This window comes from Homo sapiens, chromosome 3 (genome assembly GCF_000001405.40).
Source record: "Homo sapiens chromosome 3, GRCh38.p14 Primary Assembly".
NCBI classification, from domain to species: Eukaryota; Metazoa; Chordata; class Mammalia; order Primates; family Hominidae; genus Homo; species Homo sapiens.
In genome coordinates, this window is record NC_000003.12 from 192,914,243 (window position 1) to 192,928,036 (window position 13,794).

A 13,794-nucleotide genomic window follows, 5' to 3' on the forward strand; every position below is an offset into this window, starting at 1 on the left:
TAATGGGAAAGCAATACCTCCTCAAAAGTCTATGTGAAGTTCCTGGCCCTGAGAAGATGATTAGTAAATGATTAACTACCGTAAAAATCATGCCATGGTACCGACCACTTGGTCTGTAGGTTAGGTGACGGCTTGTTTCTTTCCTGCCTTCTCCAGCATCTGCATACCCCCTTTTCTGCATCTGTTCAATGGGGACACAAACCAGTCTCTATCGAACCTCACCAGGGAATGAAGATAACAAAAGAGCTGGCAGAGACATTATGCTAATACCAAATATTATTAAAACATTAATGAACTCTGGCAATTTCCCTGAATTTTGATAAATGGTGTTTATTATGCACTGCCAGCCTTTCGCACAGTCTGGGCTCTCAAATATTAACTAGATAATAACACCAATCATTCTCCTAAAAGACCAAGGTACAGAGGAATAAGAAGTGAATCTAGACAATTGCAGCTAACACCTGCCTCCAAAAAAAAATCAGAATCTCTGTACAAACAGAGAGCATCAGGACAGACCCCAGAGACCACAGTGACCACCAGCAAGCTCAGATCAACCCCACAGCCTGTGCAGAACCCTACTTTGATAAGACAGTGGAGTGTCTTGGTGTTGACAGGTCATTGATTATGACAGCTGTCTACCACCTCCTTGCTCTTCAGTGTAAAATTCCTCCAAACTAGACAAAATGAAAAGGATCTGTGAAGCTGGAGGGGCTTCAGACTTGGCTAACAATCTTACACAAAAAGAGAGTAACATGCCTCACCCCTGCCAACTGCCTGAAACATGAGGCAGTATTTTTCTCAGCTCCACTAAAGAGGCTTGCACCCAATTCGTGGTTGGCCACTTCATTCTGTGTGAGGGGATAATATCTGTAAGCTGCTAACAATCCCCAGGTGCAGCTCAGATACAGAACAAAGCCAAGAGGACTGGCCACCCTCCACCCCCCCGCCCTGAAATGAGGGCCTGGTACCACCCAAGTAACACCTTAACAAGCTAGGGGTCATTAAGAGACTTCATTTGCATAGTCATCAAAGAACCAAAGCTATGGCAAGTGAAACAAAGTGTATAAAAAAAATGATTTTGTTCTTTAAGCCAAGCCAAAATCTGCTTTAGAAAAAGTAAATCCACATAGGAACCCTTGCTGTCGCCAAACCTCCACTTGTGTAGAGCAGCCAGCATCTCATTAAAGGAAAGCAAGGAACTCGCAAATGAATGCAGCACCACACACAGGCAAGCAAGCTCATTTCGCCATCTGCCTTCTAGTGTCCAGAGGGGCAAAAGGCTTAAATGACACTCTCTTGAATCTTCTCTCCTGCAGGTGGAAATGCTAAATTCCCAGGGGGCAAGAAAGACTGCTTGCAAGGTCAACTGGGTAAAAAGGAATAGAAGCAAATCTAGTTTACCTGTCAACACAATGCCACCCATGGCATTAAACACATGCAAAAATTAAGCACCCTAGAATAATTTACTTTTTTATATTTGGATAAAAGCTTTGCTGATTCAGTGTATCAGCTTTGGAGTTAAGCACAGAAGTTCCTCATGAGCCAGGCACTTAAATTTACCCTCCCTACATTATCCCATTTCCTGACCCATGACTACCCTAACTGGTGGTGACCCAGTACCTTCTTCTAGTAAATGACCTACGCAAGTGACATCAGAACTGATCTGGGGGCTGTATTAACACAATGGCAGACTTCCATTATTTATGCCACAGAGAAAGGCTATGATTAACTAAACAACTTAAGTAACTGCGCTCAGCCTTCTGTGTGTGGCCCCACCTTCCTGACAATCACTGTGTTGGCTTTTGGCTTTGTAAGCATTTTAGGCTTCCCTGTGGAAGCTCACTCCTACCAGGTTTTATATATATATATATATATATATTTAATTCATCTATTCATCTACATAGTTGAACGGCTGAATCTCTCAATAGTTTTTCAACCTCATACGCAACGTAAGACACACTTGAAGAGTGCGGCGCAAAAGGTAAAAACCAGCCTAGAGTTTTAACATGTTTCATCTAACTTCCCAACGCGTGAACAACTACCAGCGGACACAGACACGTTCAGTCTGTATTACCCCGTCCTTGGGCAGTGAGGAAGAAGAAAACCTAGAAGGAAGAAGGTATCCCAGGATAGAAGCAGCAACAGCCGGCTGAAACCCAATTAGATTGCAGGAGAAAGAGAAAAGCCCTGTCTTAGTCTGTGGCCAAAAGACCTTTCCCAATCAAATTTTTCAACACCTGGAAAATTGGCTTATCTATTTGTAGAGAGCACCCAGAGACGAGCGTTAGAGCAGCGCTACCCTGGAGTACCAGTTCTTCGGAATGTTGACCGCCGGCCACGCACCGCTTGACAGCCACGGATCCGCTGGCGGAGCCGCAAGTTACAACCCAGGCGCCTGGCAAACTCACACTACACCTCAGTAGCAATAATCCCAACGGCAGGACACCTGGGGAGGGTGGGCTCGGTCTCCCGGGCCTGGCTCAATTATGTTCCTTTACACAGCATTCAATCATGTTTCAGGAGCCGTAGGTGAGGGGCTGGAGGTGGGAGTGGGGGACACATTTTCTAGCCCCCGACGTCTCCGCGGTTGGAAACTCTGGGCACCTCTTTCGGCCAGCGCTAAGACAATACACAAAGAGCAGGGAACCGGCGCTCCTCTGCGGCCAGAGCTCCGCGCCTAGTCACGGAAGAGCTGGGAATTAAGAATTCCGAGCTCAGCGAGAGCCCTGAAGAAGCACCGGAAATGCTTCCGATCGCTTCATAAGAGAAGTCAATTTGCAAATCAAAGTTGCAGGAACTCCGGACGCCTAGACTACTTCAGCGGGTTACTCGGGAACACCCAACAAGTTTGGCCACCGGGGGCTCGGCATGACAGCGCCGCGCCGCGAGACGACAGAAGCAACTTGTCGCTCGGGCGCCAAGCCAGAGCCCTGAGCCGTCTCCGCTCCCAAGCTCGGGAGAGCACCCAAGAGCCGGCGTCGGGAAAGCGGAGGTCCCTGCCTCCGGCAGCCAAATCCCTCAACTGAAGGCACCTCAGGGGCTCACCTGGACTGCACTCGCTTCCAGGGGCTTCCCCCAACAGTGCAACGCTTCACCGCGAACGCCTCACCTGCCTGCCAGCCCCAGGTGGCGGAGAAATTAACAAAAGAGCAAGCGAACAGGGGGAAAGGGAGACCCGGCGTAAAGTATAGTAAGGAGGGGAGGGCAGGCAGCTCGGCTTTCGGCGGAGAAAGAAGAGAGAGGCGGAACAGAGATGGCTTATACCCAAGGCACCGGCTCGGGAAGGCAACCCAGAAGGGAAGAGGTCGAGAAGCGGCAATGGGTTTTCTACTCCGCTTCCCATCACACACACACACGCACACACACCTCCCCCTTTTTCCTCCTTACCCAGCATGGAAAAGATGAAATCCTTGGCTGTGTGAATCTCCAGCGCTCTCTGGTCGTCGTATTCCCGCTGGTCGTGCTTCGTAAATTCTTGGATGAGTTTGTTCAATTCCTCCACCCGAGCTCCCGACCTGAAATCCAGCTCCGGGAACGCAGGCTTGTTGTTACAGCCCAGGGAGGCTGCCTTGTTGGCGGTGGGAGCCGCCATCTTCATGCAAAACGCGCCGAGTAGCAGCTCCGCGGCAGCGCGGCACCCACCCCCGCCCCCCACCCCGCCCCCCTGGGCCTCCTCCCCTCGCAGGCTCCCAGGCTTTGGCCCCGGCTCGTGGGCGGGTTGGCGGGCGGGCGTCTGGGCGGGCAGTCCCCCGCTCCGTGCGCTCTGGGCGTGCGAGCTTCGGGAGGAGCTGGACTGCAGCGAGGGTGCGTGTGTGGCCCCGACACCCTTTTCTCCGGCCCCACGCCCGCCCCGATGCTGCGCGTCCCTGCCCTGCCCTGGCCCTCTCTGGCAGCGGCAACGGCGGTCGTAGAGCCAACTGGAGCCTCCCCCGGGCGAGGAAAGTGAAGTGGAAACAATGTGAAATTCACCAGCTCTGAAATCAACAAGCTGCCGGCTCCGGTGTTACGGAGCCAGCACCAGCGTCTCCATTTAAAGGGACAGCGCACCCAGTGGAAAGGAAAATAAATAAATGACAGAGGTCTGCACGCATATACCACTTGCCAATCCGTACTTGGGAAGACGCGCGAGGTGTGGATGCATTCTTTCTCCACCTCCACGGCCGTCCCCCCATCCCCTTTCTGGGCAGGGTTTGCCAAGCGCATTCAAGGAGAAGAAAGTCTTCCTCCGTTTGATTTTAAGGGCGGTGTCCTGGGGGAGGACATCTCTGTGCGCGTTTACCTCTCTATCCCAAGAACTCCAATACCTTTAAATAGTAAAGGAAACTGCCTTAAGGAATATGAAACCTGTCTTCTACCCTTTTCCTCTTGGATTGCCAAGATGATAGGATTGAGCGTATAAAAAAAGAGGGTCCACATCTAACCCAGTATTGGCACTCCCACTAACCCCTAGATATCCCTACCTTTGCCCAAGGTAATTAATGACCTGAATAACAGCTTATTTATCTTAACATATAATGAGTTAATGAGATTCAACCTACTCTAATATAAAGATAGGGAAACTGAAGTGTGGGTGTGGGAGAGGGGAAACAATGTATTGCCCCAGGTTCCAAGAAATGTTGGATGACAAGATGAAAATTTTCTCATTCAACAGATAAAATTTGAGTACGCACCATTTGCCAGATGGAGTGACAGAATGTGACAGTGATAACCAAAAGACATGGCTCCTACCATGGAGTTAGGCTTACATGACAAGGCAGGTTCAATCTAAGTCATAGTCCTTTAGGCAGAATAGAGTCTCAGAGGTGGTTTTAGTGTTTATGGGGTGTATCATTCAAACACTTAGGAGGCCCATTGGCTGTGAGAAACATAGGTTATCTTCCTCCCTAATTCTCCAAAATCTCTCTTCTCTATCCCACAGTCCCTGATTTAGATCAGGTCTGTTTCACTTTCTTACCCGAGTTCTCATGGCCAAGAATACAAATTGTTTTGTTAGACATGGAAGGAAGTACGGACTCTTCCATGCCTTCCCCTATAAAATGGGAATAATAATTCCTGTCTCACAGGTTGTTTTAAGGATTACGTGAGATAAAACAGGTCAAGCACTTAGTTCAAGGACTGACATAATAAGTACTTAGCTATTATCAGCTTCTACTATTATTGTTATTAATTCTTTCACTGTTCCTCAATCTAGTAACAACTTGTTGCCAGAGTGATCTTTAGAAAACACAGACCTGACCACTGACCTCCCCCTGGAATTCCTCTCTTCTTTACTCCGTTTACACCAAAACCAATCCGCGTCTGCCTTTTTCTTACAGCTTTCCGGAGACCCTCCCCTCAAGCTGGTGGCAACTTTTCCTTCCTCAGAACCTACTCTCAGAAGCTTTCATATGATGCTAATGAATTTTGACCTTGCTTCATCATTGCTTTTTGTTTTGGGTTGTGTGTGTGTGTGTTTGTTTGTTTCTGAAACAGGGTCTTCCTCTGTAGCCCAGGCCAGAGTGCAGTGGCACAATCGTGGCTCACAGCAACCTCAACCTCCTGGGATTAAACAGTCCTTGCATCTAGATCTCTCAAAGGGATTACAGGCGTGAGCCACCACACCTGACCACTTCATCATTGTTAATGCAAGTTTTAGACTAAAAGATTCTTGGGGATGAGGGCTACATCTTATTCATCTTTGTATTTCCTGCAGCATATGGTCCTACCGAAGGGTCCTCTATGTTTATTGAATCAAGTAATGAGTGAAGAATTGTGGCATAACCAGTTAATTTCTCTTACTTTTCGTTTCCTTCTCTTTGAAACACACTTCCTCACCCACTCAGTATGAAAGAGAGAGGATCCATGCCTAGATAAATGCTGGTGGACTGATGAGGAAGTGACTTAAAAACTCTGGTTTTTAGGCAGGGCGTGGTGGTTCACGCCTCTAATCCCAGTACTTTGGAGGCCGAGGCGGGCAGATTGCCTGAGCTCAGGAGTTCGAGACCAGCCTGGGTAACACGATGAAATCCCATCTCTACTAAACATACAAAAAATTAGCCAGTTGTGGCGGCGTGCACCTGTAGTCCCAGCTACTTGGGAGGCTGAGGCAGGAGAATTGCTTGAACCCAGGAGGCGGAAGTTGCAGTGAGCCGAGATCGCGCCACTGTACTCCACCCTGGGTGACAGAGTGAGACTCCATCTCCAAACAAACAAACAAACAAACAAACAAAGCAAGCTCTGGCTTTCGCAGCTCTGCTATGCTGCCCTGACTTCTCATCCTGAGAGGATATTAACATTACCTGGGCAGTACTAGAAGCCACATAAGTGTTTGGAACTCCAGCACAAAGTGATCCACTCCCATCTGTCAGTGCTTCACTAGTGATCAATGGCAGGCACCTGTGCGACAGCTGGCTGAGGCAGTCATTCCATAGAGCAGAATGGTTCTAGTTACCTCCAAACCATGTACAGTTAAGAAATACTTCAGACAACAAAATCGAAACACTTTTTATTTGTTAATTTCCAAACATATGAATGAGGCATCACTAATCTTCCCTTAATTTTACCTTTTCTTATGATATTTATATCCATAAAGAAACAACAGGTTGTTAGCAGAAAGTATTCCTGTTGTGCCGTAGTGCTGGACCCTGGGGGTTTGAATGAGTGAGTGGTCTCTCTGATGTTCCTCATTGTCTGTTCTCCTTCCCGTCAGCCAGATCAGATTTCTATGAATCATGGACCCTCAGTGAGCCCGCATATCCAGATAATGTAATTGGATGGTAAACTAACACCTTCCTAGGCTCTAATAGAACGCTGATAAGATTGTGTCAATATCCCTTGTTGAATTAGAAGAATAGAGAAAAACGATCAAAAACCATAATTTCCTGAATTGATCTATTGGGAGACTTTTTAACCTCTGAGCTTCTCAAGGGCAAGTACTGTGTTTCTTCACCTGTGTAAACACTGCATTTAATTTAGTTCTTGACCCATCTTATGACCTTAGTTTATATGTTCAAATGAATATATAAAAGAATGAATGAAGCCGGGCACGATGACTCACACCTGTAATCCCAGCACTTTAGGAGGCCAAGGCGGGCAGATCACAAGGTCAGGAGTTCAAGACCAGCCTGGCCAACATAGTGAAACCCCATCTCTACTAAAAATTCAAAAATTAGCTAGGCATGGTGGCATGCACCTGTAGTCCCAGCTAGTTGAGAGGCTGAGGCAGGAGAATCGCTTGAACCCGGGAGGTGGAAGTTATGGTGAGCCGAGGTTGCACCACTGCACTCCAGCCTGGGCAACAGAGGGAGACTCCTTCTCAGAAAAAATAATAATAAAAAAGAATGAACTAATACCATCCCTCAAAGTCCAAGAAGTCAGAATTTAGGTGATTTTTGCTACAATTTAAATATCTCAATGTAAGCTATCTATGGTTTCCCAGTATTTAGTTAAGTGTTGTTATAAATGTAAGTATTTCTGCATGCATTTAATTAAATGCCCCAATTTTTATGCCTTTTTCTCCCTGTGTATGTTATATGACCTAAGAGAAGGAAGAGAGATAGAGAGGAAGGTGGAGAGAGAGAGAAAATCATTATTAGAAGATGTTAAAGAGTGTCTGAGGCTTGAATAAAAATGCATATCTCTAGAATTTTGACAGATGGACAAAGGTCAGTGGAGTCTACCATCTAAACAAGCACTAAGGTAGGCTTTTCCTTTGCTGGCTCTTGCAGCATCAAACAGAACAGAGTAACAGCCTGCATTTCCAAACTGCTGTCACACTTAGAGGTAGAACTTGCCCTTCTACTCCCAACTCCCAAATTTTATTAGCATGTGAAAGAAGTCTTCATCTTGCTTCTCTGGAGCTGTTTGTTGTTAAATACAGCTCTGAAGTTCTGTGGCAAACTCTCAGCCATGAATAACTGGGCTGTGCAGAGCCTGCATTAAAAATAGCAAGCTCCACATCCACATGATGGATTAACAAAATATAATTTTAAACAAAGATTCTCTGGTCTGAGGGAGATTTAAATAGCAGCCTAGGCTACAAGATCTGGCCTTCTTGGGCAGCTGGATTTTCAATAAAAGTCTAACAAATGGAAGTGGCCTGGGTTTTTTATGATTTGAAATGCAGGCAGGAAAAAGAGAGGCAAACATCACAGACGTGTGGAATGTTGACAGTAGAAGGAACTTAGATGATAAATTCCATCTACCCCCCTTATTTACCAGATGGGAGAATGAGGGCACAGAAAGAGAAGGGAAACTTGACTAGATAGTAGAGACAATTCTGTTTCTATTTTTCATACTAACTTTAAATTTACTAAATATTTGTTATTGTGTTTCCAGACTGCCAGAAGGAACATGAAAAATGCCACGAAATTTGATCAAAATTATAATTTAAAAAATAAAAATAAAAACAGGAGAGTGGCCCTTGGGCAAAATGCACTCATTTCACTTGAAGTTAAATCTCAGTAAACCAGAAACTGCTGACATTTGGAATTACTTGGCTACTGATTTTTCCTGGCAATAGGTAGACAATCAAGACTACAGCTAAATCTCTTTGGTAGTCATAAACAGAGGTGCGCACGTCCCTGCTTGGGGCAAATCGGGCACTGTTACTTCTAATGAGATTAGGCCGTTTAATTTTTTTTTTTTTTTTTTTTTTTGAGACGGAGTTTCGCTTTGTTGCCCAGGCTGGAGTGCAGTGACACCATCTCAGCTCACTGCCACCTCCACCTTCTGGGTCCTGATTCAAGCAATTCTCCTCCCTCAGCCTCTGGAGTAGCTGGGATTACAGGCACACACCACCACACCCGGCTAATTTTGGTATTTTTAGTAGAGACAGGGAATCACCATGTTGGCCAGACTGGCCTTGAACTCCTGACCTCATGATCTGCCCACCTCAGCCTCCCAAAGTGCTGGGATTACAGACGTGAGCCACCGCGCCCGGCCTTAGGCCATTGAAATATTAGCGAGGTCCCCAGAACAATATAAATAACCCTCTCTATTCAGACTATTCAGTCCTAATAAAGTGAGGCCCATGTGAAGCCCACCTGCTCTGATGTGTTCACATGGTTCAGAGGGCCTAGTCCCAGCTTCTCCCTCAACCCTGTATCCTCATAACCTTGAGGGCGTGAGTGATCTAGCTATGGAGAAAAGTGCAGCAATGTAAATCTCTCCACTCAGTCTCTCATTTTATTCTCTGCTCTCTCTCTCTCCCCCAACCCTGTACTCTAATGACCTTGAGGGCGTGAATGATCTAGCTATGGAGAAAAGTGCAGCAATATCAATCTCTTCATCCAGTCTCTTGTTTTATTCTCTACTCCTGCTATACTCAGGGAAGCAAAATCTGTGCGTGTGAAAAGAAGGAAATGAACTCTAGGGATGGAAATAACAATATCTGATAGCAATTATTAACAATTCCTCCTGATAATAGAGCACTTTACAGTTCAACAAAGCGCTCATCACAAAATTCATTTATCGGTTCCTCACAGCCTCTTACTGAAGCAGGTTAGTGAGGACTATTATTATTTTTTGCATTTTGGAAATAAGAAACTAAAGCTCAGAGAGATAGTGAAGTTTGTGGCTAATTGTCATCCTTCAGCTCTCTATTTAGATGTCATTTCCTTGCAAAGAGCTTTTTCTGGATCTCCTCCACCCCCACACACCCAGGTCTAGGTCAGGTAAATTCCTTTGTAGACTCTCCTTCCCTCTGGACTTACGTCACTGTTCGTTCTCACACTTCCTTGTATCTGCCTGATAACTTTCCTGTTTCCCTCACAAAAATGTATGCAACACTGTCTGTCTTGATCACAGATGTATCACCAGTACCTCTTACTGGATGTGTAGAACATAGTAGATATTCAATAAATGTTTGATTAAAAAGTAAATGCAGGCTCAGACCCCAAATTTGAGTCTTTTGATTTACAATCCAAGTTCTTTCCATGAAACCTCACTGAATCTGTTGTTAGCACCCATTGAGTATACAGAAAAACACCAATAATCTCTCACATTTTAGAGAATGGGTACGCTTTATCAGCATTTCACATACACAATCTGATTCCAAATTTTGATTCAAGTTACCTTACTGTAAACAAAGCCTTTTGTTCCTCTTCTCTCTACCTTAAAATCTAAGCTCAGGCCCTTTGCTCAATAAAGTTTACGACAAAATAACTTTAAAAATTAAGTTCATATTTTCAATTCTTCTCACTTTTGGGAAAACCCATTTGACTTAAACTCTACACATCAGGTAAGAAAGGGCATAGTAATAATTGCAGGTAATTTAAAATAACTCGAAAAATCCTCTTCGCATATTACGACTGCCTTAACCCCATCAGCTGTTCTGGTGAAACGGTGGGGCCCTCATAACCAATCAATCCGTTGATACTGTTACATTTTGTTCTGGCCCTTGAACTTGCCAAAAGGCCCTGTTCTGGGTTCTCCACACCAATCCGTATCCTACTTTACATATACTCTGGGTACTGGATCGAGTGCCAAGGATAGACCATAATCCTTTGTCATGGGAAAAGTGGAGCTGTTTGGCTTGCTTTGCTGTGGTCAATTAGTTAATTAAATATAAATTAATTTAGTTTTTTTTTCTCCTATGTGGCTTCAGAGGGTGGAACCAGGAGGGATTGATGGCAGCTACAGACATAAAACTTTGACTGAGGATGTGGAAGCATTTTCTCACAATGAGAGCCACTGTGCACTGAATAGGCTGCTTTATGAATTAGTAAACTCCCCATCACAGAAGGTGTTCAGGGCTGTGTTATCCACCCATCAGGGTTATGCTAGGTTCCTAAGTTAGTAAAGAGCTGAGACTATGGCCTCTGAAATGTCTTTCAACTCTGAGAAGCTCTGACTCTATGATCCATTTTCAGTTAACAGGAAAACTGAAAACTAGCTTCCTACAAGGAGTCACTCCATGACAGAGCTATGTTCTGCACTAAACACAAGGTGTTTGAGATCTATTTTCATGTAAGGCCCAACGAAGATCAAGGATTATGTCTTTTATTTTTCTAGGCTTAAAAATACATATTTCCTTGTTTCTGGCTTTTGTTTTCTTTTTCTTTCTTTCTTTCTTTTTTTTTTTTTTTTGAGACGGAGTCTCCCTCTGTTGCCCAGGCTGGAGGGCAGTGGCGCGATCTCGGCTCACTGCAACCTCCGCTCCTGGGTTTAGGCCATTCTCCTGCCTCAGCCTCCCAAGTAGCTGGGATTAGAGGCGCCCGCCACCACGTCCGGCTAATTTTTTGTATTTTCAGTAGAGACGGGGTTTCACCATGTTAGCCAGGATGGTCTCGATCTCCTGACCTTGTGATTCAGCCTCCCAAAGTGCTGGGATTACAGGCGTGAGGCAGGGTGCCCAGCCGTTTCTGGCTTTCTTACTGTCCGATTCTAGCAGGTTATTTCATTCCACCCGATACAAAGAAGTTCTGTGGTACAGAAACATGCCACAGACATCATATACATACCGTGCAACCCAAATTTATATTTGGAGAAGTTCTCAGTAAAAAGAAAGGGTCTTCCTTTAACATATTAATTTACATGCTCATTGTTTAATGATAGAAGCCAGTTCTCTGAGCACGTCTATACCATTGGCAAAGGAATTGTTATAATGCCTGTTTTGTTTTCTAGATCTTGTCCAAAAAAAAAAAAAAAAAAAAAAAAAAAAGCCGGGCACTATGGCTCATGCCTGCAATCCCAGCATTTTGGGAAGCTGCGGCGGGCGGATCACAAAGTCAAGAGATCGAGACCATCCTGGCTAACATGGTGAAACCCTGTCTCTACTAAAAATACAAAAACTAGCCGGGTGTGGTGGCGGGCGCCTGTAGTCCCAGCTACTCAGGAGGCTGAGGCAGGAGAATGGTGTGAACCTGGGAGGCAGAGGTTGCAGTGAGCTGAGATCGCACCACTGCACTCCAGCCTGGGGACAGAGGGAGATTCCTTCACAGAAAAACAAAAACAAAAACAAAAACAAAACCTCTCTAAACCCTACACTGTAAGAAGTTTATTGAAAAACTTGGCTTTCTTTTTTGTTTTCACCTCCAACCATACTCAGTACAGCACAAGAATAGCAGGAGTTGTTTCCCCTGATCTGAGACCTGGTGTGTTGAGTTGTGGTCCAAAGCTAATTTTAAATTCCAAATGTATAACCTGGAGAGAGACAGAGAGAAAGAGAGAGAGAGAGGATATGAAGAAAATTGTGATGTTCCTTCAGCCCTGACAATATTATCACACACACAGCCATAAATATACTTTCTGGACCATGACTTCTAATTCTGCTTACTCTGTTAGTACTTTCTAAGCAGCAGAAAAAAATACCCTCACACCCTTTACATTCTCTAATGTTTCTTTATAGTCTAATAGAAAAAAATAAGAGAAAAAAAAGGAAGAAAGATAGACTAAAAGAAAACATAGCTCCCTTATTCTATCTAATTTGTGATTATTCTTGTCTATTTAAACTATCTTGGGGATATGAGTACATGCATTTTATTGAGATTTGCCTTAATTTTTTTTTTTTTTTTGAGACAATCTCACTCTGTCACCCAGGCCAGAGTGCAGTGCTGTGAACTCTGTTCACTGCAACCTCTGCCTCCCAGGTTCAAGCAATTCTTGTGCCTCAGCCTCCCGAGTAGCTGGGACTACAGGCACATACCACCATGCTCAGCTAATTTTTGTATTTTTAGTAGAGACGGGGTTTCACCATGTTGGCCAGGTTGGTCTCGAACTCCTGACCTCAAGTGATCCATCTGCCTTGGCCTCCCAAAGTGCTGGAATTACAGGCGTGAGGCACCGCGCCCAGCCTGCCTTAAATTTTTTAAAGGGGGATAGATAGGAATATATCGGATATACATTGTAAATAAATAAATTCAGACAAAAGCTGAAAGTCAGGAGATTTCTGTTCTGGTTCAGCTTTGGCCATTAGTTTCATGATCAGAGAAAAATCCTCTCCTTTTCTCCGAATCTCCTCTTCCTCTTGTGTAAATGAATAAATAAGGTGTCATCCAGGCGTGACATTCTGAGGCTACAGCTCTAACATGAGAAGACAAATAAAGCAGTGCTCCCTACAAATTCTTAACACAATGTGTTTGTTTATTTTCCCCCAGTCTATCCTTGCACAGCTTGACATTCCATAGTTGAATGTTCTAATTTTTTTCTAAGGATCTTTACTCTAAAAGAATTAGCCTAAAATCAAAAGAGAAGAGAATCTATAAGTGCATTAAGACCCCCTCCTTGACACATCTTGGCTAATGGCCTCTTATTCTCTGTTGGTGGGGGATGAAGCAAAGCCTGCTGATGAAATTCACTCAGCAGCTTGGCCCTAGGGTATGGCTACATGGTCTCTGGGTTCTTAGGGTCCAGCCAGGGCCCAGCAGGTTTGTCAGACTCCAGAAATCCCTCTCCTCACAGGGTAAGCAGAAACAAAAGGCACCCGAAGAAAGTACCCCAGGAAGTATTTACAAGAGGCTGCAAAACAGTTATAAAATGATTTTCTGGCCCTAAAGTTAGAAGCCAAGGATGATGTTCTGAAGCCCAGGTGTGAGATGAACATAGGTATAGAACTTTATAACCAGACTTATAAAGCAGTTGACACAAGAAACTGTGGTTTTGGCAAAAAAGCATTAAGGAGTCTGTATTTCTTCACAACCAAGATATGGAAGAAATCTGCTCCTAGGAATCTGGGCTGCAGTTTTCTTTATGTATTTTGGAGAAAAGCAACTTTATAAATTTCAGATAATAATTAGTGATAGTAATAAAAAGACATAACAATCTTTAGGCAATAAATAACATTCAAGTATGTCTGATGACAAAATTATATGCAAA

At 44.6% G+C, this 13,794-nt stretch overlaps 1 protein-coding gene across 1 annotated transcript in view, besides 3 other annotated features; it reads right to left on the reverse strand.

Moving 5' to 3' along the window:
- The window catches only part of MB21D2 (Mab-21 domain containing 2), a 121,042-nt gene extending 117,428 nt beyond the window's left edge, over window positions 1-3,614 (reverse strand). Inside the window, exon 1 of the mRNA NM_178496.4 lies at window positions 3,388-3,614. Coding sequence (NP_848591.2) covers window positions 3,388-3,598 — 211 coding nt within the window. The 5' untranslated portion in view covers window positions 3,599-3,614. The remainder of the gene's footprint in view (window positions 1-3,387) is intronic.
- Window positions 452-952: an enhancer, noted in NCBI's record as "H3K4me1 hESC enhancer chr3:192632483-192632983 (GRCh37/hg19 assembly coordinates)". NCBI's record gives its function as "activates a minimal SCP1, AML or CMV promoter by ChIP-STARR-seq in naive H9 embryonic stem cells {active_cell/tissue: H9 hESC(naive)}" and the evidence as "EXISTENCE:reporter gene assay evidence [ECO:0000049][PMID:30033119]".
- Window positions 2,580-2,909: an enhancer, noted in NCBI's record as "active region_21000". NCBI's record gives its function as "activates an Ori minimal core promoter by ATAC-STARR-seq in GM12878 lymphoblastoid cells {active_cell/tissue: GM12878}" and the evidence as "EXISTENCE:reporter gene assay evidence [ECO:0000049][PMID:35858748]".
- Window positions 3,560-3,919: a silencer, noted in NCBI's record as "silent region_15007". NCBI's record gives its function as "represses an Ori minimal core promoter by ATAC-STARR-seq in GM12878 lymphoblastoid cells {active_cell/tissue: GM12878}" and the evidence as "EXISTENCE:reporter gene assay evidence [ECO:0000049][PMID:35858748]".